The sequence below is a fragment of the Homo sapiens genome, chromosome 11, assembly GCF_000001405.40.
Source record: "Homo sapiens chromosome 11, GRCh38.p14 Primary Assembly".
NCBI classification, from domain to species: Eukaryota; Metazoa; Chordata; class Mammalia; order Primates; family Hominidae; genus Homo; species Homo sapiens.
The window spans coordinates 36,017,565-36,043,588 of NC_000011.10; the positions used below are offsets into that span (position 1 = coordinate 36,017,565).

Below are 26,024 nucleotides of genomic sequence, written 5' to 3' on the forward strand. Positions count from 1 at the left end.
GTTCTCCAGGCTGGAGTGCATTGGCGTGATCTTGGCTCACTGCAACCTCCACCTCCCAGATTCAAGCAATTCGAGTGCCTCAGCCTCCCGAGTAGCTGGGATTACAGTCGTGCACCCCCATGCCCCATGACTGTATTTTTAGTAGAGACGGGGTTTCACCATGTTGGCCAGGCTGGTCTCCAACTCCCGACCTCAAGTGATCCACCCGCTTGGCCTCCCACAGTGCTGGAATTATAGGCATGAGCCACTACATCTGGCCCATGTTTCATTTAATACAGTTCTTCAAAGATATGCTTCAGGATCTTGGTCCCGCTTGTTTAAAATTTCCATTGAAAGCTCTGTTCTACTGTGTAGCTGTTCTGGGTGCACCAGTTTTGGCATTCATCAGGTAGAAACTTCAGTTTTTCAGTCAGAATTGTGTAAGCTGAACCAGTTGAGATGTCTGTGGGTTATTATTTCTGTTGTTTATCATGGATCCTGTTTAATTAGGGCACAAACGAGATTAATTTTTTCCTCAAAAGTTGATGTGGATGGTCTGCGGCTGCAGGCTTCATCTTCAACACTGTCTTGCCCCGTCTTAAAATGAGTTAGGTGTTTGTAAACTGCTGATTTTGGCAGGGGGCATTGTTCCCATAAACTTTTTGTAAAGCATCAGTGATTTCATCATCCCTTCACCCAAGCTTCATCATAAATTTGATGTTTGTTCTTGCTTCAGTTTTAGCAGAATTCATGTTGCTCCAATAGGGGCTTTTTTCAAACTGATGTCTTATCCTTCTTAGTTCCTCAAGCTCGATCCTGTTCAGACATGTTATAACAAGTTAGTATGAGTTTATTTGGGTACAGAAAAATTTTAAAATCCATGCATAATTTTTTCATAATATGCATTTTCACAAACTTTGAAGATCCCTTTCATTTACCTATCTCCTCTTATAGACACTTGAGTTCTTTAAAGTTTTGGACTTTTACAAGTGATGCTATAAATAAAAAAAACCCAGCCTTTTATGTGTTTCTCCCTGCATTTATATATTTCTAAGGCTAGATTCCTAGAAATACAATCAGTGGGTCCAAAGGTAAGCTCATTATAAATTGTGCCAGGTGCTGTCAAATGGCCCTAGAGAGATGGTACCAATTTATACTCCCACCAGTAGGGTCTGAGGGTGCCAGTTTCCTCACCCTGCCAACCCTCAAGAGTACTCATCTTTTCAACTTTTGCCAGTCGCATTGTTCTAAACAATGGCATTTCACGTGCATTTGTTTACCTGCTAGTGAGGCTGTGCATCTTTTCATTTATTAGCCATGTTTATTTTTTGTGCCATGCTTGTTCGTTTTCTTTATTCATTTTTTTCTTGGTTTGTTTGCAGTTCTCTTAAGGAGTTCCAATTAGGGACATAGAGGATTGTTTTAAAACACACATTTAGAAAAAAAAATCTCGATGGGCATTTCTGGCTATAAAACTCTATAAAAGACCAAGTACTTCTTCTTTCTGGCATTGAAGGCTTTGGTTTTCTGCTTTGTTTTTATTTAATTAGGTGAAATTTTTCCTCCTGGCTGGAGAGTCCGGCTGTCTGTAAATGCATTATCATTTGTGCAGCACGGGGTAGATTGTGATCTGAGCTGGAAAGTGAGCCATGCCAGGCAGGGGTTGGAGCCTGTTGGAGCTGATTATCGCGGGTGTTCAGTGCAAAGCTGAATCTCTTGCCCCGTGTCTCTTAAAAACCATGGTCTCTCATGTTGTTAGCATAAAGGCACTTGATTGACAAAAGGAGAGACAGGGAGAGTCTCTGGAGATGTGCTGGCACTCTGGTTCATTATGTTTCTTTATTCTGCTGGCATTTCCTATGTCAGTCTTGCTTCGTGTGGAGCCATTATTCCTCTCTTCACATCCAGGTCATGTGGAGAGCTGCCACCTTCCATATAGGTAGATAACCTGGCCTCATTGTTCATAGGACACCAGAGCTTCCAGGAATGGGGTGGCCAAGGGCCTGGGTCCCAGCACTTCAGTGGCCGTTGATAACAGAGGCAAGCTTTCGACTGAACCCCTTTAGGCTCCTTCATTCCTGCCAGCTCACCCTTACCTCTCCAGTAGTAAAGGGCTTGTGCCTTTGCCTGCTCTGGGTGAGAGTCCCAGAGCACAGTAGCCCATCACACTGTGTTGCAGCTGTCACTATTCCCTGGATACAGAAAGAAACAAAGGCCAAAGTTAGGGTGCTAATGGTTTGGGATTCACCATGGGGAGAAGGTGAATCAACCTCTCTGTGGATGGAGGACTGGAGGCGTGACTGAGAGGCGGTCTGCCACCCAGTGCAGAGCAGAAACAGAGGGCTGACTCAGAGAGGCGTTGTCACCTGCTGGATGCACTTGGGCCTGGCTCTCTTCCCCTTTAACATGTGTCTGACCTTGATTCCCTGTGAGCTGGCTCTGTGGGCATGGGTCATCACAGAATGCTGGGTTTGTCTATGGGCAGCTGTGTCAGATGATGCTGACAGCACATGTTATCACATGCAAAGTCCTTGTGCCCCGGAGTTCTGGAGGCAAGCTTTTACCTGCCAAAGTTGCAGTATGAAGGACTGGACTACATTTGAATTTTTACTTTGAGCCATGAAGAATTACTGGTTTACACTCAAGCTAATCTGGAGGTAAAGGTTGCCTCACAGAAAATCCTAGGGTCCATAGCCTTCTCAGGAAAGAAAATAATAATATGAATAAAAAATAATATGAATAAAAACATGAATTTTTGGTTCCTATGCCCGCTCCTACCTTTTAAAATAAGCAAGTTATTATCTGAGCGTGAAGAGACATGTTTTAGTTCTGTAATCTTAAAATGCATGCAAATAGGGACTGTCCACAAGATGGAGGAATAATCCTAATTTGAAGGAATAATCCACAAAATGTTTATAGTATTTTAGCACAGGGAAGCAACTGTCCATTTTTCCCTCCTTCTTTTTCTCTCTCCATTTCGATAGACACTCTGTTGTGGGCTCTGGGCTACATTAGAACACATTCCCTCCTGTAGTTTAAAAGTTGTTCATGAGTTGTCGGGGGAAGAAAGGCACCCAACAGAAATTTGTGGAGCATTATGGTAAATGAAGAGATAGAGGTTTGCATAAGTTATGTTGAGAGGTCTGAGTGGGGGCTTGTACATTGTCTTGGGGGACTAGGGAGAAAACCCCTGGAGAGGTGGGCTGGCCAGGATACCCAGGGCACCTCTGCTGACCCAGGGACCTTGAGTTTTACCCGCTGTGGAATGGGGATTTGAAACAGCATGTGACGTGGTCAGATTTGTTCTACAGCTGTGTGAAGGATGCTTTTAGAAGCCAAGACTGGAGCCAGGAAAGCCAGTAAGGAAGCCATTAGTGCCAAAGAGGTAAGAGAAGCATTTGGACTAGGGTTGTGAGTGACAGGGATGGGACATATTAATGAAAGCATCAGTTGGTTGATGGCGGTGGGGGTGAGGGAGAGGGATGGTTGGTGGTTCTACCAGCTGAGATGGCGCATGATGCAGGAGGAGCAGCTTTAGAAGAAAACCCCAACATTCTGTTTTGGACATGCTGAGCTTGTGCCAGGGATGGAAGTATCTTTGGCAATACGGGGTGGAAATGTGAAGCCAAGGGTGGATGGAGGATGTCGTTGAAGGGAAGAGAACTGAATTGGCGGTGTTGGTTTGGAAGTTATCACCGTGAAGGTCCAACTAATAGTGGACAAAATGACTTAACTAGGGAAGATATCGCTTGTTTAAGCAGTTGGGAGCAAAACTCTGAAGGCTGTTAAAGGAGGGAAAGGAGCTTCCGAGATGACTGAGAAGGAATGATCAGAGAGCCAGGTGTGTGTTAACGGGAGGCAGAGGAAGAGAAGAATATGGTGTGAGGGTGGCCAAGGGAATGGAGTTTCAGAAGGAGGGAATGATCTAGCTGATCCAAAGCAGCAGAATTGTGCCTAAGGAAGAGATGGAAAATTAACGTTTGAATTCAATGATTGGGAGGCCCCCTGGTGACTTTGTGAAGACAGATTCAGGAGAGAGTGATGGTGGTGGGAACCGGACAGATGGCAAGGGATTGAAGAATATGCAGACTGTAGGGTTTAAACCTTGTTTTCTTTTAGAGGGGGTCTGGCTCTGTCTCCCAGGCTGGAGTGCAGTGGCGTGATCTTGGCTCACTGCAACCTCTGCCTGCCGGGCTCAAGTGATCCTCCCACCTCAGCCTCCTGAGTAGCTGTGACTTACAGGCACATGCCACTATGCCTGGCTAATTTTTAATTCTTTCTTTTTTTGGTAGAAATGACGTCTCACTATATACCCCAGGCTGATCTTGAACTTCTAGGCTCAAGTAATCCTCCTACCTGAGCCCTGCAAGTGCTGAGATTACAGGCGTGAGCCACTGTGCCTGGCCTCAAACGTATTTAAAGGTTAATCATGGTCTCAGCGTTCACCAGGCCTTTGACTTCTTCCAGTGTCTTGATATTGAGCTGCCCCTGTTAGCAGGGAGCAATGGAGTCACCTGAAGAACTGGACCCACACTGTGGCGCACGTTATTTCAATTTACTGAAAAATCGTTTCCTAATAAACAGTTCCCTTCTGTTCTTTCATCTCGCCTGGTATGATTCTATTGTATTCAGTTCAGGGTGGATCCTTTTACACTTCAGATCACCCTTCCTCTAATTATTAATCATGTAACTACATTAGAATGCTTTGTCTTATGAAATGACGTGTTATGTACCTACATTACATCTAGTCTTTATATCATAGTAATTCTTTAATCGTGAATTATAACACCTTTAAGAAATGAGCCCTAGTTAATCTTATGGCCACTATTTGCATGCTGTCATAAAATGTGTGAAAAATTCAGAAGCTTCTACTGAATTTTAGTATTTTTTTTTTTCTTTAAGAGGTTTTCTTGTGTGAGTGATACACAGTGAGAATTCTAATGTTTCCAGGTCTGTGACTACTTTGCTCCAATACCAAGATGGACAGAACAGCCCTTTGATTACCCAGGGAGACTGTCAAGTTTGCATCTGGTCAATCTCTGTTTTATATATAAGGAAACTGAGGCACAGGGTGGGTAAGTAATTCCCTGAGCTTGGAAAGTAATGGTAATAGAATTCAGTGTATGGGCTCCAGGGCTGACTCAAATGAGAAGGGCTCTATAATCCATCTTTAATTTTTAAACTTGCTTCGTTTTCTGGAAGGTCATAAGCTACCTTTTCATAGGCTACCCTTTGCAATCTGGAAACCCCAAACAGGTTCGTCTACACAGTTTCAGCCCTTTAAAACAGATTTACCAAACCTGATAGTCTCTTGCAAAGGTAAATTGCTTGCTCAGGAGGTCTGAAAGCTGCGATCATTCAGACATGCATACTAAAGTGGGGACTCCAGCAGTAAACACTGCTTAACTCTGGCACTTTCTAGATGTACAAACATCATTTGCTCAAGAAGTCAGCTAATTCCTCATGATGGAGGGCCTGTCGTCGTGCTCAGGAGGGAGTGTGCCTGTGTGAGCAGATTGTAGAAGCGGGATGGACCAGTTTAATGGATTAAGCTACTTAAGAAAATTTAAAAAGACTCACTGGTTAATATGCACACCCTCTTTGCTTGACGGAAACAGGCTGGCGTTTTTGATCTCCCTGGCGGGGTTGCTTTCCCAATCAGAAGTGATAAGCCAAATAATCATTTATTTGCTGAGACATGATGGAAGATTATGGATAATTGAAGTGAACCAGAGAGACCCTTTAATCCATAGGGAACGGGAGGTAGGTGTGATTCCCGTCCCTTTGGAGATTATTTTCTCCTGTTGCAGGGGGCCATGGGGACTAGCCGTCTCCTAGCTGAGTAGAGAAGGTCAGAGTTGTAAAGTGCAGAGGCCAGAATTGGGTCTCATCTGGGAGCTGGAGACTTGGATTCTCTGGCTAGCTCCAGCACTGCCTTTTGATGAGCTGGTTGCTCTCTGGGTTTTAGTCTCTCTCTATTAAACAAGAGGAACTATCTTCAGTACCTGCCTTTCAAGGATATTTTCAGTCCCTCAGAGGAGGAGCTCTATGTCAATCCCACTTATTATTTTTAAATGCTGAAGACTCTATCTAGGACAGGCAGATGATGTGTGTTTGCCTGCTATGGGGACGATTACGAGTCCACAGAAACAAAGAATGAGTGGGGGAATTTGATTGTCGTCTGTTACTGCCTTACTTTATGCATGGGGAAACTGAGGCTCAGGGAAGTGAAGCAACTCCCCCAAAGCCCAGTGGTGAGTCCCATATGCCTTTCTCATTTGACCTGCTTTACAGCTTTATAGTTGTTTGGAAGGGTTCGTTCATGTGTATAGTTTGGCTGCTATTAAAGAGATCTAGGAATGATTTAAGGAGGGCTAATTATTTCTTAGGAATAATTGAGCTGAGGCCATCATGTATGAGAAGACACACAGCCAGGGTCTGCACTGGGAGGTCTTTAACTGTGTCCTTAAAACCTGGTGTCTGGCCCCACAATCTGCTTTTCTGGATCTAAGTGACCACCACGTTCCAGCTAACCAGCCCAGATTCCAGCAGGCTTCCCATCTGACCAGGCTACACCCACTCTAGAGAGGCAGGAAGAGAAAAGGGACCCAGCCTTCTCTGACTCAGAGAGTCCGTAAGAATGTATGGAGGGAAGGAAGGAGTAACATATACTAGTACCATTTATTAAACCCCAAGTATATACCACCTGCTCTCTTATATATACTTTATCCTTCTGTCTCTTGTATGTCCACATTTTACCTATATATATGTTTTATATCTATATCTATAGCTATATCCATATCTATATCTATAGCCATATCTTTGTCATTATTTGTATCTATCATCCCTCTATCCCTCAGCAATGCTGCCAGGGATGTGGGGTTTCCTCAGTTTTACAAATGGAAAATTGAAGCTCAGAGAGGGTAGCTCACTTGTCTGAAGTTGCCACAGCTAGTTATGGTTATAAGAGAATTAGGCATTAGAACCCAAGTCTGGCTCACTCCTGAGCTCATGCTCTTTTTAACAGACTGTCTTCCCAGAAGGGAGGACAAGGGATTGGGCTTCACTGTCTGGTTTCCTTGCCTTCCCCCATCCTGCACCCTCAAACCACTTCTTCTGTGCTGGCCACCCTGGTTTTTGACTGTGCTCTGTGCCTTTGGCCCTTCCTTAGTTGCAAAAGCCAGGGGGCCCTACCAAGTCACAGCCTTGGCTATCCTCAACTGAGCCCATCTGAGCCTTGCTCAGCCTTCTGCAGCCCCATGTTGAGGGGCGAGGAGGCAGATGGTGTGGACTATTCTAAGGAAGACAGCTTTACTGTGGCTTTCCTCACCCTGACTTCTTAGGGAGTTAGTACTCAAAAAATATCTGACCTACTGGCTAGGCCTTGCTATTTCTGTTTTTGGAATGTCATGGCTTAGTAAGTTTGGTGGGTAAATCTATCTTAGGAGATAACATTTATTTTTTCCTCCACAATCAGCTTCTGCCCTGCAACTGTTGCTGCCTTTCAGAATATGAAAAGAGCTCATAATAGATGGAATCTCCCAGAAGAAGGTCTTTGCATTTGCTCTTTCTTTTCCAGTATGAATGCTTGCCCCCTTTTATCTCGCATTCCTTTGTAGTTGGTGGGGTTTTTGAAGCGAGAATATAGTGGTAAATGCTTCCATATGTCTTTCATAGGGTTTTTTTTCCTAAAATATTAGTGTAATTTTTGTTCCTTATAATAAAATTTTAGCAATGAAACATTTTTTTAAAGGGTAGCGAAAAGTTACCAAGAATAGCACAAATCCCGCTGTGTGCCTGCACCCAGTTCCACTGAATTCTAATATTTTGCCATGCTGGCTTCAGATTTTTTTTTTTTTTTTTGAGATGGAGTCTCGCTCTCTCTCCCAGTCTGGAGTGCAGTGGTGTGATCTCAGCTCACTGCAAGCACCGCCTCCAGGGTTCACGCCATTCTCCTGCCTCAGCCTCCCGAGTAGCTGGGACTATAGGCGCCCGCCACCACTCCCGGCTAATTTTTTGTATTTTTTAGTAGAGACGGGGTTTCACCCTGTTAGCCAGGATGGGCTTGATCTCCTGACCTTGTGATCTGCCCGCCTCGGCCTCCCAAAGTGCTGGGATTACAGGTGTGAGCCACCGCGCCCGGCCCAGATTTTTTTTTAAGACAAATCTTGCAGTTGAAGTTCATTATGTACGATCCCAGTTGCCAGAGGTACCCATGATCCTGAATTTGATTTTTTTTTTTTTTTTTTTTTTGAGATGGAGTTTCGCTCTTGTTGCCCAGGCTGGAGTGCAGTGGCATGATCTTGGCTCACTGCAACCTCTGCCTCCCAGGTTCTAGCGATTCTCCTGCCCTATCCTCCTGAGTAGCTGGGGTTATAGGCATGCACCACCAAGCCCAGCTAATTTTTGTATTTTTCATAGAGACGGGGTTTCACCATGTTGGTCAGGCTGGTCTCAAACTCCCGACCTTAGATGATCTGCCCGCCTTGGCCTCCCAAAGTGCTGGGATTACAGATGTGAGCCACCACACCCGGCCCTGAATTTGATATTTACCTCTCCTGTACATTTAAAAAATCTGTATGTACCCATTAAAATAGTATTTTTTAAACAGGATGTAGGTGATATTCTGCAGTTCGCTCTTTTCACTTAGCAGTAAGTTTCTCAGATTTACCTATGTTGAGTGATGTAAACCCTAGTTCATTTAATTGAAGCTCTGAGTAGCCTTTTCATTGTGTGAATGTACCCTGTTTTCTCATCCATTCTCCTTTTGATGAACATTTAGTTTGTCTTACAGTTTTGTATTATAGTAGTGTCTCACTGAATGTTCTCTTGCTGTCGCCCTGTGCACATATACATGTTTGTCCCTAGGCCTAGGGTATCTATTAGGATTGGCTGGGTCAAAGTGTCAGAGGCATTTAAACCAGAGTGATTCCATCTTAATAGGGGCTGGATAAAATGAGGCTGAGACCTACTGGGCCACATTCCCGGGAGGTTAGGCATTCTAAGTCACAGGATGAGATAGGAGGTCAGTAGAACATACAGGTCATAAAGACCTGCTGATACAACAGATTTCAGTAAAGAAGCCAGCTAAAACCCACCAAAAGCGAGATGGCGAGGAACATGACCTCTGGTCGTCCTCATTGCTCATTATATGCTAATTACGATGCATTAGCATGCTAAAAGACACTCCCACAAGTGCCATAACAGTTTCCAAATGCCATAGCAACATCAGGAAGTTACCCTATATGGTCTAAAATGGGGAGGAGTCCTCACTTCCAGGAATTGCCCACCCCTTTCCTAGAAAACTTATGAATAATCCACCCTGTGTTTAGCATGTAATCAAGAAATAACCATAAAAATGAGCAACCAGCAGCCATTGGGGCTGCTTTGCCTATGGAGTAGGCATTCTTTTATTCTTTTGCTTTCTTAATAAACTTGCTCTCACGTTACTCTGGATTCGCCTTGAATTCTTTCTTACATGAGATCCAAGAACCCTCTCTTGGAGTTTGGGTCGGGACCCTTTTCCAGTAACAAAAGTGTGTGAGCTTCACTAGGAGTTGCCAAATTGCTCTTCAGATGTGCCGTGTATGAGTTCCTGTTCCTCCCCATCTTCTTGCCACTTAAGAATGTCAGGCTTCAAATTTTTGCAAGTTGGGTGTAAAAGAGAGCCCTCTTGTTCCATTAATCATTCTTTGATTACAAGTGAGATTGAGTATATATTAAGTGGCTATTTGAGTTTCCTCATCGGTGAAAGTACCTGTTCATGGGCTTTGTCCATTTTTCTACTGGGCTGCTTGTATTTTCTTATATCATTTTGTCAGAAAATTCTAGATATTGATACTTCGTGGGTTATACATGTGGCAGATAATCTTTTTCTAGTTTGTGGCTTCTCTTTCAACTTTGTTTATATCTATTGATGATTAGGAGTCTTACATTTTAATGCAGTTGTATTTATCAGTCTTCTCCTTTGTGGCCTCTCCTTTGAGTCTTATTTAAGAATTTCTTCCTTACCCTGAGCTCATAGAGATACATTTTGGGGCCTATATGAAGATCATTTTGCTTTTCTGGCCTTATTGCTTAGTTGGCTTTGGTATTTTCCTTATTTGCCCTGCCTGGAGGCATCTGCATGGAGCAGAAGAGAGACTATCGAATGGTTCCCAGTGGCTGTGGAAATTGCTGCAGTTGTTCTTGGGCACAAGGGGCTGGGCTGAACTTGAGGTTGTAGCAAAATCCTTCTTTTTGGGCAGTGGCTGTTCCTGAGAGGTGCTGAAGTGCAGAGTCGATTGGCTCTCTCATAAGCCCTGGCTTATCACAAGCCAGATAAAATTGGTCGTAAAGTTGTCTCCTCCTTCAGTTTAGTGGCATGCCTAGCTCACTTCCTCCTGCTGCTGCTGATTGAGCTGAAAAGACAGAAGGCATAGGAGGATGGCTCCTGCTCTGGGTTCTCTCCCAGGTCTGACCGGCAGCCAGCCCTTGGCAAGGACATGGGTGTGAGTGAAAAGCAAGCGCTTGCAAAAGTTCTTCCAGAAGCTCTTGACTTCAGTGCCTTTACTCCTGGGAGCCCAGAAGTGTTCTTCACCCCAATCTCATTTATCCATTGCATATTGCGTGGCAGATTATAAATGGGGTCAACTCCTGTTTAGATAAATTCACAGAATTTAAGAATGTCAGAACTGGAAAGGTTCTTAAGGTTCAACAGGTTCTGTTGCCTGTTCATGCAGTCAATAGGCATTTGTGGAGAGTCTTCCAGGCACCTGGCACTTGCTAGTTGCTGAGGATGCAGCAGCAAGAAGACATGGTGTTGGGAGCAGCCAGTCAACAACGGGGCTCATTTCAGAGTGGTGGATGTGATGGGATAGGGAGGATATGCCTTGGGATTGGCCACTTCTGTCATTTTCTTATTTTACATAAGCCTGTAGTTGTCTAGTGCAGGGAGTCGGTTGGCAAATGGGCTAAAGTCAGCCATCACCTGCTTGTAGACACTCTTCTGAACCAGGTATGGCTTTTACATATTTAAATGGTTGGGAAAAAAATCAGACATTTATAATATATTTTGATAATGGGAAGCACTAACTTTGAACCTCAATTAAGTGAAATGTTAATTACCCTTCCCAAAAAGAATTCCATTTTTTTTCTTAGTAGACCTATATTACAGAAAATTGTTCCCAATGATTATGAAAATATTTTGAATTTAATCAATAAAAAATTTGTAGAATATTCTTTTCTCTCCTCTTATATAGGTACCTTAATTTGGCTTCTTGGCCTACACTGCCTGAAATATTTACTCTGGCCATTTGCAGACTTGTTCTAGCTGTGTGACCTTGGGCAAGTTACTTCTTCAGTTTCAGTTTCCTCATCTGCAAAATGGAAATGGTGCCTGTTTCATAGGGCAATTGTAAGGAGTAAAAAGGAACTGAAGGGCCGGGCGCAGTGGCTCACGCCTGTAATCCAAGCACTTTGGGAGGCCGAGGCAGGCGGATCACAGGGTCAGGAGATCGAGACCATCCTGGTCAATATGGGGAAACCCCGTCTCTACTAAAAATACAAAAAAATTAGCTGGGTGTGGTGGTACATGCCTGTAATCCCAGCTACTTGGGAGGCTGAGACAGAAGAATCGCTTGAACCCGGGAGGCGGAGGTTGCAGTGAGCCGAGATCGTGTCACTGTACTCCAGCCTGGCAACAGAGTAAGACTCCATCTCAAAACAAACAAACAAACAAACAAACAAAAACTGATGTTCCACTTCTGCCATGTGTATGTGTTTCCGTAGATGTCAGGTCTTCCCTAGTGAAAAGTCCATAATAATTGCTATCTTGAGGGCTGTTAAAGGGAGCAGGAGGAGGGATGGGACAAGGGTGGCGCCAGGACTCAGTGCTCATCTTGGAGGTCAGTATCATGACAAACAGCATCTTCCAGAGTTGCTGTCAGACCCCCAAACTGTGGACTTTGGATCTCACAAAGGCCGTATCCCGATGGCTCTGCAAACCCCCACTAGATTAACACTGCTGCAACATAATTTTCCTCATGAAATGCACTGAAGCATAACTAAAAAAATGTAAGTAGCAGCTATCAGGCCCTTAATGAGGCTATAAATACAGCACGAAAATAATTCATAAAACTATTTCCTGGTGAAAAACTGTCCTTTACCTAGACCTCTTTGCTTGCCCCATTAATAACAGCCATTGGCTTTCTTTACTAACTCGCTTTGTAAGAAAGGAACGAAGCCTTTATCATTTTGTGACTCATGCTGCTTTACCCTTGTAGGAGAAACAACCATATAGCTATACAAAGTGCAGACACCTCATGGCACAGTAGGCAGCTAGGCCCACTCACTATCCCGGTGACTGGCTCCATCCATCAGTTGTTCCTGCTGCAGAATTGCACACCATCTTCTTTTAGGGTCATAGGCAGTGTAAATATGAAATCTGTGGATATCAATAGCCAATGGTCCTGGGCTGAACCCAGGGGTCATGTTATACCTTCTCACCAATTTCCCTGGGCTGTCTTCCTTGAACAGATGGGTAAATGGAGGCTGGGGCTACTGGAATGAGCTCACAGGGCAGGGTTGCCTGAAGAGTCTAGACAGAGCTAGAGATCTGGCTGTGCTCAGGGGCTTAGACCCAGAAGGCCCATCTTCGCCCCAAACTCAGACAGCCTTGTGTGACTCTTCTTGGTGACAGCTAGAGTGCTCCTCATAGTCAGGCTCCAGCAGGAAGCAGTTTGATGGGAACCGAATGGGAAGTGCACAGGACAGATGTCTCTGGTTCCTTCTGTCACTGATGCTACTGTGTGGAGCAACCTAGAGTCGAGGAGGTCTTCAGGGACTTTCTGGGGATGTTTGTAAACAGATCACTGCAGAGCCGCTCACTCACTGGCCTGTGCCTGTGCATGGAGTGTGTGTGTGTGTGTGTGTGTGTGTGTGTGTGTGTGTGTACGTTTGAAGAAGACAGTCACGGAAAACAGACAGTGGCCTTCAGTGGCCTCATGACACTATGTTTGTTGGCACTGGGCAGTGGAAAGAGGTGGTTAATTCTCTGGGGAGGTTCTAGACAAGATCCGTTTGAGATCTGCAAAACCAAATGCTAAGCCGTATGTGTGTCTGTACCTATGTATGGGTGTCTGTCTTGCTTTTGCTGTTCATTGAGCCTTCAGATCCAGATTGTCAGGAAGCAGAGGATAAAAATGAAGGCCACTGGGCAGAAGTTGGAAAGCAGGGCTGTCATGGTTTCCAGATGTCAGTTCTAGATTGCATCATGACAAGGGGTCCCCCTAGGGCAGGAAGAACAGCAGTAGGAGAGGAGAGAGCCAGGAGGACTCCAGCTGGTAGGATGGAATTCCCATTTCTCAGCTGGAAAAGTCAACATCACTAACTGCATGTTCTGGAGTAATTTGAGTGGAATGCAGCAGCTGTCTGAGTTTTTGTAGTTGCCCCAGTTTGGGCCCCCTTGTCAAATATAAATTTGTGGGAGCCAGCAGTTTTGGAAGAAGCTTCTGCAGCAGGCTGTTTGCCTTTGTCCAATAGAATGGGACTTGTAATTTTTTTTTTTTCATTCTTGGTGCAGATGGTGTAGTTATTTTAAGTAAGTGATGTGCTGCAGTGAAAATGGGCAACTCTTTTTCATTTTTCAGCTTAATGAAAAAAAGAGAAGGGAGGAGGAGAAACCCCAGCTAGCCAACTTCGTGCTAATGCTTGTCTTTTTTGGATTCTAAATGTGTCCCAAGGCACTAAGATGGGATAAATATTTCAGCCACTAGAAAGTCCTGCTGTCGGCCTGAAAAGATTTCTAACCTCTTTTAAAGCAGACTGGGTAGTAATTTACTTGTACAAATCCAGACACCCCCATGTCCCTTATTTTAACTATGTATGTACAGATTCCACTCACATTCTAGGGGGATGAGGCAAGGGGCAGGTGGAACTTTCTAGGGAAGAGTATGGGGGAAAGGGAGGAAATAAATTAGTGCCTGAACACTTGGCTTTCTTCTTAGAGTGGTTATAAGTATTTACTGGAGACCTACAGAGTGGTCAGGTGCCCACTGAACACAGTTGAACAAAACAGTGCCTCTCTGCCTTCACGGAGTGTTCAGTCTAGATGGAGAGACAGTACAGACACACCAGTAAGCAAAAGCTGGGTTAAAGGAAAACAGGACACTACCAGCGTGAAAAACGGGGACCAGCTTTAGATTGAGTGTCCATGAAGGGACCTGAAGAAGTGATGTAAGCTGAGGTCTGGATGAATGAGGTTAGCCAAGTGTATTAGTTTGCTCGGGCTGCTGTGAGGTTGGTGCAGAAGTAATTGCCTTGTGCATTATGCAGTTACTTCTGCACCAACCTAACATAGCAAAGTCCACAGACTGGGTGGCTGAAATGACAGAAGTTTGTTTTCCCACAGTGCTGGAGGCTAGAAGTCTGAGATGGAGGTGCAGGATTAGCGTCCTCTGAGGCCCCTCTTTCTTGGCTAATGAGTGGTCGTCTTTTCCCTGTGTCCTCACATGGTCTTCCCTCTTACATGGTCTCTTTCCTGATGTCTTCTTAGAGGGACATCAGTCATATGGAATTAGGGCCCACCCTAATGCCATTGTTTTAACTTCATTACCTCTTTAAAGATCCTCATCTCCAAATACAGTCACATTCGGAGGTTCTAGGGTTTAGGACTTCAACATGTAAATTTTGGGGGGACACAATTGAGCCTGTTACACAGATGAAAGGTAGGTGGAAGAATGTCCGGGGTCAGCAAACAGCACATCTGGAGGCCTCACAGCAGGGGGCACTGAGATGTGTTGCAGGAGATGGTTCGAAATGAATATCTAGAAGCAGGCAGCAACTGGACCATGCTGGGCTTTGTAAACTATGGCCAGAGTTTTAGATTTATTCTGAGGACACGGAGAACCCATCAGTGCATTTTAAAATCTCACTCTGTGTGAAGAGAAGGACCTGGAAGGAGTGAGAAGTGAGAAGTCCAAAGGTTTTTTAATTAAGAAACTAAGGTTTGTCAACCTCAGCACTATTGACATTTTCAGCGGGATGACTCTTCATTGTGGGGGCTGTCTTGTGTATTGCAGGAGGTATAGCAACATCTCTGGACTCTGCCCATTAGACGCCAATAGCACCCCCATCTCCCCATCATGACAACCCAAAATGTCTCCAGACAGTGCCATATGTTCCCAGGGGGGCAAAATTGATCCCTGTTGAAAACCCATGGTTGAAAAGGGCAAGAGATAATGGCGGCTTGGATTGGGTGGTGCCAGTTGAGTGATGCAAATTGGATGGGTTTGAGGCAGGTTTTTGAAGACAGAATCAATAAGATTTAACCTGCCTTTGCCTTAGTTTCTCCTCATGCCTTTTTTTTTTTAGACAGAGTTTTGCTCTTGTTGCCCAGGCTGGAGTGCAGTGGCGTGATCTCGGCTCACTGCAACCTCTGCCTCCCGGGTTCAAGCGATTCTCCTGCCTCAGACTCCCAAGTAGCTGGGATTACAGGTGTGCACCACCACACCCGGCTAATTTTGTATTTTTAGTAGAGAAGGGGTTTCACCATGTTGGTAGGCTGGTCTCAAACTCCTGACCTCAAGTGATCCACCCGCCTCGGCCTCCCAAAGTGCTGTGATTACAGGTGTGAGCTACCGTTACCGGCCCTCCTCATGCTTTGAGTTTGATGATGTCACTTCCCTAAAGCACACGGCTGTGCACCAGCTGCATGCCTAATGCGGTTGCTCAGAAGAGCAAAAAGCATGTGCCTCTCTGTTATTGTTCACCAGGCCCCAGGATCCCTGGTCCTGCTGAGAAAGCACTTTGAGCCCCATGGCTGGCAGGACCACCTGTGTGTAACAGACATGGTATTTAGTCTCTGCATCCACCCATCCATTTGTCAAGTCCATGTGCCGCCAGCCTTATTGACTCTCAGAGCAAGTACTTTGGAATCTAATCTGGCCAATTTTCCCGCTCCAAAAATCTGTTTATCAGAACAAGATTTCACAGTTGCAGTGACGTTTCCAGGGGGGCTTGCCTTGGAGGAGCTAACTCTACAAATGCAAGTGTAAGTATTTCCAAACAAAGCAGAATGACCCTTACATTCCAGGCCCCTGAAGAGTTCTCTGCTACAGAGCAGTTCTCTAACAACAGAGCAGTTGTTAGCAAACAGCTGGAATGTGGGGGTTTTCTGGGTTGAGCATTTGTTGTCTGGCTAGTATCCAGTACCTGGCTGCCCTTCTAGGGTCCCCCTCAAGCCCTTGCCTGGAGATGGTGAATTGGTTTCATGTTCTTCTCAGGGTTGTTGGTGGCTTTCTGGAGTCCGGTCTTGAGAGGGAGTCTCATATTGATTCTTGGCTCGGTGGAACAGAGCATCATGATTAATTAGGGATGGCTGACTTTGCACTACAATAGGAGAAATTGCAGCAGAATAGGAGAAATAGTAGCATAATACCTTTGCATTTCCTAACAATCAGAGCTGCATGATTTTTGAATTCCATGTTGTTCCATGCTCTGGGCTACGTCTTCCTGCACAGAGTCTTTGCTGACACTGTTCTCTAGACCTGAAGGGTGCTTACTTTTTATCTCTGTGTGTCTATCAACATCCACTGTAGATGCTACCCTCTTTCTCGGAATCTTTTTTGATTTATTTGAATTTTGACTTTATCTTAAGGACACCAGGGAGCCATTCAATGACCTTTTAAAGTTAAGAAATGATTCATTTGGTGTTTAGACAGATCCTTCTGGCCACAGAGGGGAGAGTGGGTTGGAGAGGGGCAAGCTGGCAGGCAGGGAGGCCAAGTTGGGAAGTTGTGCTGTGCAGCAATCCCTGTAAGAAAGGGTGGCTGCTTTGGCTGGAGTCGCAACTGTGGCAATGGAGAGTCGGGGACTGGCCACATATAGGGGTTGATAGATTGAGGAGGGGACAAGGGAGATTTCTAGGATTCTGATGTGGGCAGTTGGGCAGGGTAGAGCCCCTCATTGTAGTTTCTCTCCTGGAGTTCTCCAGTGAGCGATGAAAGCTCATTTTCAGTAATGAAACGTGCATGTGCGTTATTAATTCTGTATAATGCAGCAGATGGTCTACAAGGGAAATTCCATGCAACAAGGCCGGTGGGGTGTTGCTTGCCTGTGACGGTGTCCATTGCAATTGGTTGTTGCCCGCTTGTTCTAGTTATAAAATATTTTTAGTATCACCCCAGTGGTACTATCACCAGACTACAGAATTAGTGCTCATCTGTGTTTGGAAAAGCCAGGGGACACGTCAGAGGAAAGGCGACATATTTGTTTGCTGAAGGGTGTGTATGGATTTACTGGGAGACCCAGCAGGCCGAAGGGCATCCCTGGTAAAAAGAACAGCACGCATAAAGGATAGTGGCCTGTAGGAGGATATGATGTTAGGGATCTGGAAATCTAGAGATGCTTCTCTTTGGCAAGGTTTATGAAAGAGAATCAGGGACCTTCTCTTCTGCTACCCCGAGGCGGGTCTAGACATCCCTGTTCTTATTTTGCTGTGTGTGCCTTTCCAGCCTAAAGGTATAATAAGCCCTAGCCTTTATCTCTGCATCTTTAGAACATAGCACAAGTATCTGGTCATAAATGTCCAGTAAATGCTTATGGAATGACTCAGGAGGGAGCTCTGGAGTTGTGGTGTGCTGAAGGACTGGTCTTTTTTTTTTTTTTTCCTGCTTTTCCCCAAAACTCTTTTACTCACATGGCTCCTTATCTCTCAGCCATTGATCACAATGGATCAGACTGGTCAGATCGATCAGATCCTGGCTCCCTTGAAAATCTCCCCCCAGGGTCTACTGGTAGATGAACTCAGCACCCTGCCCACCTCCACCGCCACAGCACTGGTGTTCTCTCTTTGCTTTCTAGCCTGAGGGTTGGCTGTTCGGGTTGGGGGCTTTGGCACTTTATGACCATGTTCAGTGGAGTTGAATCTGAACTTGCAGCTTGGTTCTCAGCTTCCAGTAACTCTTGAAAGGCAATTCCATGACCTTGGGACCCTGCTGGAGGTTACAAATCCCAAGTTCAAGATTCAATGTGGCCTTTTCTACCTGTGCCACCTCAGGCAGGTTGGTTTTATAGGTCTGGGCTCCTGTTTCCTAGAGTGAAATGATCTCCCGGTATTCCTTCCAACTTGGCCCAACTTCAAGGATTCTGTGATTGTAAGGGCTACAGAGTGTGAGGCCTGGAAAGATCTTGCAGTTCCTAATGTTGGAGACATTGGGAGTCCAGTGCTCACTCCTGTCTAGAATTTTAATTTTTAACCACTGCTGATGGCCAGAAAAGAACATTTGGATTTTACAACCAGTCTTTGATGGAGAAAGAAAAAAAGTCAGTGAACACCCATTTTGTGCCTGACATTCAAGTATGTTTGTTCCCTGTATTTCTCCATTTAGTCCTCTCAGAATCTCTGGAGGTGGACTGGGGCAGATTATTAGTCCATTTCACAGATGAGGAAACTGAAGGTCAGAGAGGTTGAGTCATCTACCAGAAGTCTCACCTATACCAAACCACACACCTTTCAGTTGAGGGGCGCTGAGGTCCCTGCTGTTGCTGTGCCGTCTGACCTGTCCCCTCTCTCTGACAGAGAGCCAGCTGCTCCCCGGGAACAACTTCACCAATGAGTGCAACATACCAGGCAACTTCATGTGCAGCAATGGACGGTGCATCCCGGGCGCCTGGCAGTGTGACGGGCTGCCTGACTGCTTCGACAAGAGTGATGAGAAGGAGTGCCGTGAGTGGCCTGGCCCTTTGCTGGGGTGGGGTGGCAGCCATCCTGGGGCAGAGGGGAGCAGGTCCTGAGCAGGCTTAGACCCTGCACACTCTGCTTGCTGCAAGCTGGTGGTTTTGTGCCTCTTGCCAGCAGTCCTGCTTCTTTGCTGTATCTCCATCTCAGAGTCACATGCTCTGTGTAGACACAGGGATCTTGGTGGTGGTGGAGCCAACGCTTTGAGAGAGCAGAAGGTTTTACCATCAGGCTCTACTAATCCCTACCCTGGAGTCCCATCCTTGCCTTCGCTTTATGTACGAGCCAACTGAGCATCCCAGAGGTTATGTGGCTGCAGCATCTTAAAACCAGCAAGTGGCACATTGGACTTGGGAACCCAGGGCTGCCTGACACCAGAGTCCATGCTGGTGACCATCTTACAGAGCACCGTGGAATTTTCTTGATGATTAAATGAGGCATAGCATCCTGCCAAGTATTCAGCATGGAGTTGGGACTGAATACATAGTAACGTGCTTTCCCATCCCCTTTTCTCTGCCGATAGATATGGCTTGAGCTTTGCTGGGGACATCATCTTCTAATGGGCACCACCAGGATCAAATGGTTTTGTGATCCTTCCCACCCCACCTCCTTTTCTGCCCTTTACCTGTTTCATGACGCCGAAACATGCATGAGATTTGGGTTGATGATCATCTACGAGAAAAGAGGCACCGGGGATGTGAGTTGAGAGGGGTCCGTGGTGTCAAATGATCCTGCTCCCTGCCCTGCAGAGGTGTATTTCTCTTCCTCTTCAGTTTGTCTCTGCAGAGTGAGCTTGGCCATGGTGCCCTGTGTGGTTGTCCTCCTGGGTGCCCTGGTAGGTAGGAAGCATGACTGACAAGTGGTGGGCACAGGGTTGTCTCACAGGGGATTGCCTTGAGACCACATGACTGGACGATGGTTCCTGGCTCTTTCATGTGCTTTGGGCACCAGGCCACGTGGCCTGTCTGACAGGAGAACTATGTGTCCTGGCTCTGAGCCTGCTGTCTCCCTGGAAGCCAGCTGAGGAAATAGCTGAAGACAGGTTAATCATTTGAACTTTTTTTTTTCCCTGAAACGGAGTCTTGCTCTGTCACCCGGGGCTGGAGTGCAGTGGTGTGATCCCGGCTCACTGCAACCCCCACCTCCCGGGTTCAAGCGATTCTCCTGCCTCAGCCTTCTGAGTAGCTGGAGTACAGGCACCCACCACCGTGCCCAACTAATTTTTGTATTTTTATTAGAGACGGGGTTTTACCATGTTGGCCAGGCTGGTCTCAAACTACTGACCTCATGATCCGCCCACCTCAGCCTCCCAAAGTGCTGGGATTACAGGCATGAGCCACTGTGCCCAGTCAGTCATTTGAATTTTTAACATATTTCTGACCAGAATTTGGGGCCGAGTCTGTTGACGCATGGGAACGGGCACTGGCTTTGGAGTTCACACACCTCTGGAGCAAGCTGCCCCCTCTGAAACTGGTCCTTCGCCCATCCAAGGGGTCCCATATCCCCAGTGCCTGCTCCTGCCCTTCAGAGAAGTTTTTGGGATGGGAAAATTGGGGGTGTGTTATTTGGGGAGAATATTTCATACTGCTTGTTGCATATGATCTTTCTGAATTGATCACTATACACACTGAATTTTTATTTTTGCAGAATTGTTTGTTTGTTTATTGTTTTCCAGCCCAGGCTGGAATGCAATGGCATGATCACAGCTCACTGCAGCCTCGACCTCCTGGACTCAAGTGATCCTCCCACTTTGATCCCCCTAGTAGCTGGGACCACAGGAGTGCGCCGTCACGCCTGGCTAATGTATTTTTATTTTTTGTAGAAACAGAGTTTCACCACGTTGCCCAGGTTGCTCTTGAACCCCTGAGCTCAATAATCCATCTACCTCCGCCTTCCAACGTGCTGGGATTACAGATTACAGATGTGAGCCACCAAGCCCGGCCTGCAGAATTATTTTTTAAAAGTATTATTATGTCTATTTTAGCTTTTCTCTGTTTCTAACATGGCCTCAGAATTACTAGAGCTATAACATTAGTAATCTGAGCAAATGACATAGTATGGGTGAGCTCTGTCATCTGTCTGGTTTTGAGGATTTATTAAACACTGTACAAGTGTGCCAAGTTACCATTTTTGAGATATGGTGTATATTTCAACTTCGGCACATACGGATTATCGTTAGCTGACCTGGGAATGTTTGGCACATGATCAGTTTCTGAAAGAACGCAGGATTAAGGAGTTGATTCCTAAATTGTATGCCCAGCTTTGTCAATAGCAGCTGTGTGATATTAGTGCATTCTATGGCATTCTGTGTCCTGTCACTCCAGTCTCATGATTTTAGAATTCATGCTCAAACTGGAAGACATGGTGGAGAGCAAATGTTTTTAAAAAAGATGTTGCCGGCAGCTGCCTGGAGCTGCTTGGTTTGGTTTGGAACAGGCTCATTCTTGGCTATTCTCCATTATTTTTTTCCCCTGACTTCCTACCCTTAACCCCCAAGTGTGGTGGAGGTTTGAGTGGCATTTATTTAGTCCTTTGAGCAAAACATAATTAAAAAACCATGCGCCCCAAACATACATTAACCTCTCTCTGTAGCCCTTCTTTTTTTGTCTTTAAATCGTGAAAACAGAACATTAGAAAGTTTAGACAGTAGAGGGAAGGAGAAAAAGTCCCTTTTCTAAAACAAATTCTACTTTCATTTAAAATTTCTTTCTTTTTTTTTTTTTTTTAGACGGAGTCTTGCCTCTGTCACCCAGGCTGGAATGCAGTGGCGTGATCTCGGCTCACTGTAAGCTCCGCCTCCCGGGTTCACGCCATTCTCTCGCCTCAGTCTCCCGAGTAGCTGGGACTACAGGCGCCCGCCACTACGCCCGGCTACTTTTTTGTATTTTTAGTAGAGACGGGGTTTCACCGTGTTAGCCAGGATGGTCTGGATCTCCTGACCTCGTGACCCGCCCGCCTCGGCCTCCCAAAGTGCTGGGATTACAGGCGTGAGCCACCGCGCCCGGCCTAAAATTTCTTATATATTCCCTTTCAGCCTAGGAGTGAGGGTGTGAGCCCTTGAGAAGGCCGATTTGTGTCAAAATCAGAGCCCTTCTTCCCCCTTAGGGGGCTGTGTGATCGTGGGAAACTTACCAGAATGTTCTAAACTTTAGCCTTTGGGAGGTTTAAAGAGAATTCTTTAACCTCCTGGTGCCTCAATTTCCTCCTCTCCAAAATGGGGGTAATAAGGCTTCTGATACTTAACAGTGTTGTGAAATTTTAACCTGTATGAAGCACGCAGCACAGTGCCTGTATACAGTAAGTGGCTTGTAAACATTAACTGCTATTGGTTAAATCTGTATCAACTATTTTATTTGGTCGTTGTCATGGGGAAATACGGTTCAATTATCTGCTTTTTTCTACTTAACATTAGAGGCCCTTGGCCACATTCTATATTGAGGATTCACAGTTGTTTTGGGAGGCTGCCTAATGCTCTGTCAAGTAGTGACACTGTAACTTAACCATCCCTCTATGTTTCAGTCTCTTCTGTTTCAGTCTCTTCTGCACTTTTACTTCTGCTGGTCAAAATGTTTAGGATCATTTAAAGAACTTATGCATAACCAGACGACAGAAATATACAATGGTTTCAGCCAGAGTCAGGGTGGACAGGGCTGAGGTCTCCAGGGTGACCAACTTGACCACCTTTTCAAGGATGATGGAAACGGCTGATGTGGAATTTCTGCCGCCTTCCCGGAGGGAGGGAGACTGGTTCTGTGTCTTGCTTATGAGCTACAAAGCCCTTTCTCTGATTCTTTGGAGCAACTGGGTACTTAAGGGGAGGTGAGTGAAGGTGGCAGTGTTCTCGCCTCGGAGAGGTGATTACTTCAAGTGCCCTGTGGAGCTTTGGCATTGGAAAGATAATACGCTTCTTAAAAAAGAATTCTTGCCCTTTTCGAAGGGCAAGAAAGAGCCTGGAGAGGTGTGTCATGGTGGGATATGAGGCAGTGAGCAGCTCTTCTGTATCCACAGCAGAGGAAGGATTTTTACCAGACAGGAAGATTTTTTTTTTTTAATCGTGACGGTAATAAGATCACATATTGTAAAAATTGAGGGCAGAGAAGGAGGAAAAGCATCTGTACTCAGATCCACTATTGGCATCCTGGAAGTTCTCATTCAGGCTTTTCCCCAGTGTAATCGCCAGGGGTGTACAGTTTTATATTTTGACATTTTCTCATGTAACATTTCAACCTGTTAACAGTTTTTCTGTATCTCCCCCCATTTTTCTCTTTATCATTTTTAGTGCCATTAACTTGCTATAATATGGTTTATTTACACATAATTTGGCATTTCTCTTCTTTCCAGTTTTCCACTATGGGAAACAGTGCTCACTTGTGAACAGGAGGGTGGACATGACTTTCCCTCTGTTTTGAGAAATTTGCTTAGGCTAAATTCTCAGAATTAAAATTACTGGGTTGGAGGGAAGGCGCCTTTTCTGGCTCTTGACACCGACTGCCGACTTGTTTTGCTAAAGGTTTGCACCAGTTTGTTGGCAACATGTGAAAACTATGACTTTATTTTAGTCTTGGCAGCCCTGGGTAACATCTTTAAAAAATATTTTTCTGGTTAATTTAATAATTGAAAAGTTACTTTTTTTAATTAAAAAAAATTATCTAGCTAGATTGAGTGTTTTCCCTTACCTCTAGTTACTAGTTTTATTTCTTTGTGAGATACCTATTGATGGACTAATATTAATTTCCAGCTGAGTTAAGACATTAGATTTTCTGCCTCTTGAATCTGTAGAAGAGGGTCATTTTGGGACACTTTGAGTATATTTCTGTTCTTGGTTAGTGGAGTGCCCTCAGTGATAGTTTTATCCAAATAACTTAAAAATAAAATAAAAGGAATAAAGATAATGTTTTACAAAAACGAGGAAGCTCCATGGAAGTCCTGATTATGAGGAGAGCTTATTAGAGCTTCCTCTAGGCCACACTATCCCAGGCATTTTACATTCTATTGATTCATTTGATTATTGCGGAAGCCTTATTAGTAACCGGCTGGTGTCATCTCCAGATGAGGAAATTGAGCAGTAGAGCGATTACATGGAGCTTGCCTGTTGGCCCAGAAAATAAGTCTCCATAACCTTCCTCCATCAGAGACCCCCAGTGGGGGCTTTCAGTCTTTTTCTCTAGGTATCTGTTACCCTGCTGAAATGGAATCTTACTGCTATCATGACATATTATCATGTCAAACCTGCTTTTTAAAAAGATTCTAAAAACGTCAATAATGGTTTCTTATAGAAATGAATATTTACATGGCCGTTAGTCCTGGGAGTCTCTGAAATGTTTTCCTTGAAGAGACTGTCCTTTGATTAGTGCTCCCCTCTGTAATAAAGCAGCAGTCCAAATTTCCAGAACCCACAGGGGACCAGGGGTCAAGAGCCTTAAGATCTTTTTCCAGTTCTGTGTTGATTTTAGCTGCTGTCTCTCCGTGTTCTAACCAAGTGGTTGAGGGGATCTTGAATGTTTGGGGTCGTCTTCCCAAGGCGGTTCATTTTCTTCTTTGGAAAGTTACACTGATTGATGTCTTTGACTTTCCATGTACAGACCTGGCCCTTTATGTTTGGTGGGTGTGTTTGGTTGAGGGGGGTGTGGAGGAGGGATAAATTTGAGGACTTTGTTAAATGATAAAATATTAATGAATCTCCAAATCCAGAGATAGAAAAGTAGGTGCAAAAATGGGATTTGAATTTTACTTGCTTTTACTGTTCCTGACCGTTTCTTGAACATGTGTTATTATTGCTCTGGTGTAAAGGCATAAATCCATGAGATAGGGTTGAGAGGGCAAGTTTGGGCAAATGATCACCACGAAATATAAGAGCAAGAAAGCTGGGGTTGAGATTGTTCAGGCTCCATACTCTTCCTCTTTTCCTTTTTAGCATCTGCCTCGTCTTCTGCCTCTAGGTGGTGCCACATATATTTTCTTTTAAACTTGCACTGCAGGGCAAGTAGAGATGTGGGGAAAAAGTTGGATTCTGAGTTATCCTTTACCTTTTCTAAGCTTTACCAGGAATTCAGCTGTTTCTCTAGGGCACCTAATGCCGGCTCCACACACCAAATGCCTCTGGAAATCAGGAAGCTTTCATAGGATGGATAGAGCTTGCTGCTGCTTCTCTTGGGCCGTTCTGTCATTTCTCAAAGAAGGGGATGTGTTGGCTGATGAGCTGTGGCTTAGAAAGGCAACCTGTCAGTCATTGTGTGCAGCTGCAGTGGGCTCAGTTCTCCCCATCACTCTGTAGAAAGCAGAACTGGCACAACACTATCATTTTGGGTTGAATTATAGCCCAGCCTTCCCCCACAATTTTCCTGTGTTGAAGTCCTAACCCCCAGTATTTCAGAATGTGACTTTATTTAAAGATGGAGTTTTATAAAGGTAACCAAGTAAAAATGAAGTTGTTAGGTGGGTCCTAATCCAATACGACTGGAGTCCTTATGAAAAGGGGAAATTTGGAAGCAGAAATATGTACAGAGGGAAGATGATGTGAAGACTTGGAGCAAGAAGACAGCTGTCTACACTCCAAGGAGAGGGCCTGGAACAGATCCTTCCATCACAGCCCCCAGAGGGAATCAACCCTGCTAACACCTTGATTTCAGACTCCTGGCCATCAGAACTGTGAGACAGTGAATTCTGTGGTGGAAGCTGTCCAATTTGTGGTACTTGGTTATGGCAGCCCTAGCAAACTAATACGACCATCAAACTATCTCCTTTGTTTAAAAAAAAAAAATTATTATAGGCTGGGCATGGTGGCTTATGCCTGTAATCCCAGCACTTTGGGAGGCCAAGGTGGGCAGATCGTTTGAGCCCAAGAATTTGAGACCAGCCTGGGCAACATGGTGAAATCCTGACTCTACTAAAAATACAAAAATTAGCTAGATGTGTTGGCGGGAGCCTGTAATCCCAGCTACTTGGGAGACTGAGGCACAAGATTTACTTGAACCTGGGAGGTGGAGGTTGCAGTGAGCTGAGATTGTGCCACTGCACTCAAGTCTGAGTGACAGAGTGAGACCGTATCTCAAAACAAACCCCAAAAATTATTATATAGTGAATGATAGCTTCCTGCAGCTGTCTAACAGGCTGACGTCTGCAGACATCCTGCTTTCATTTTTTTCCTTTAACAATTTGCAAGTAAGAATCTCACTGTTATGGGTCAAATTGTATCTTCCAAAAGGATATAGGATATGTTGAAATCCAAACCCCCGGTATCTCAGAATGTGACCTTATTTGGAAATGGGGGTCCTTGTGGATGTAATTAGTTAAGATGAGGTTGTACTGGAGTAGGGTGGGCCCTTAA

At 45.0% G+C, this 26,024-nt stretch overlaps 1 protein-coding gene across 3 annotated transcripts in view, besides 3 other annotated features; it reads left to right on the forward strand.

Annotated features, from left to right (window-relative positions):
- Positions 1-26,024, forward strand: part of LDLRAD3 (low density lipoprotein receptor class A domain containing 3) — a 288,075-nt gene that overhangs the window by 73,503 nt on the left and 188,548 nt on the right. The window contains exon 2 of one of the 3 annotated variants that reach the window (NM_174902.4): positions 18,539-18,685. The exons of the other annotated variants lie outside the window; for them this stretch is intronic. Within the exon in view, the coding sequence (NP_777562.1) occupies positions 18,539-18,685 (147 nt within the window). The remainder of the gene's footprint in view (positions 1-18,538; positions 18,686-26,024) is intronic. 3 annotated transcript variants of the gene reach the window in all.
- Positions 205-1,404: an enhancer, noted in NCBI's record as "MED14-independent group 3 enhancer chr11:36039319-36040518 (GRCh37/hg19 assembly coordinates)". NCBI's record gives its function as "activates an origin of replication core promoter dependent on BRD2, BRD4, P300/CBP and CDK7 cofactors, and independent of MED14, by STARR-seq in HCT116 cells {active_cell/tissue: HCT116}" and the evidence as "EXISTENCE:reporter gene assay evidence [ECO:0000049][PMID:35650434]".
- Positions 15,555-15,849: an enhancer, noted in NCBI's record as "tiled region #260; HepG2 Activating non-DNase unmatched - State 22:ReprW". NCBI's record gives its function as "activates a minimal TATA promoter and a strong SV40 promoter by Sharpr-MPRA in HepG2 cells {active_cell/tissue: HepG2}" and the evidence as "EXISTENCE:reporter gene assay evidence [ECO:0000049][PMID:27701403]".
- Positions 21,107-21,614: an enhancer, noted in NCBI's record as "H3K4me1 hESC enhancer chr11:36060221-36060728 (GRCh37/hg19 assembly coordinates)". NCBI's record gives its function as "activates a minimal SCP1, AML or CMV promoter by ChIP-STARR-seq in naive H9 embryonic stem cells {active_cell/tissue: H9 hESC(naive)}" and the evidence as "EXISTENCE:reporter gene assay evidence [ECO:0000049][PMID:30033119]".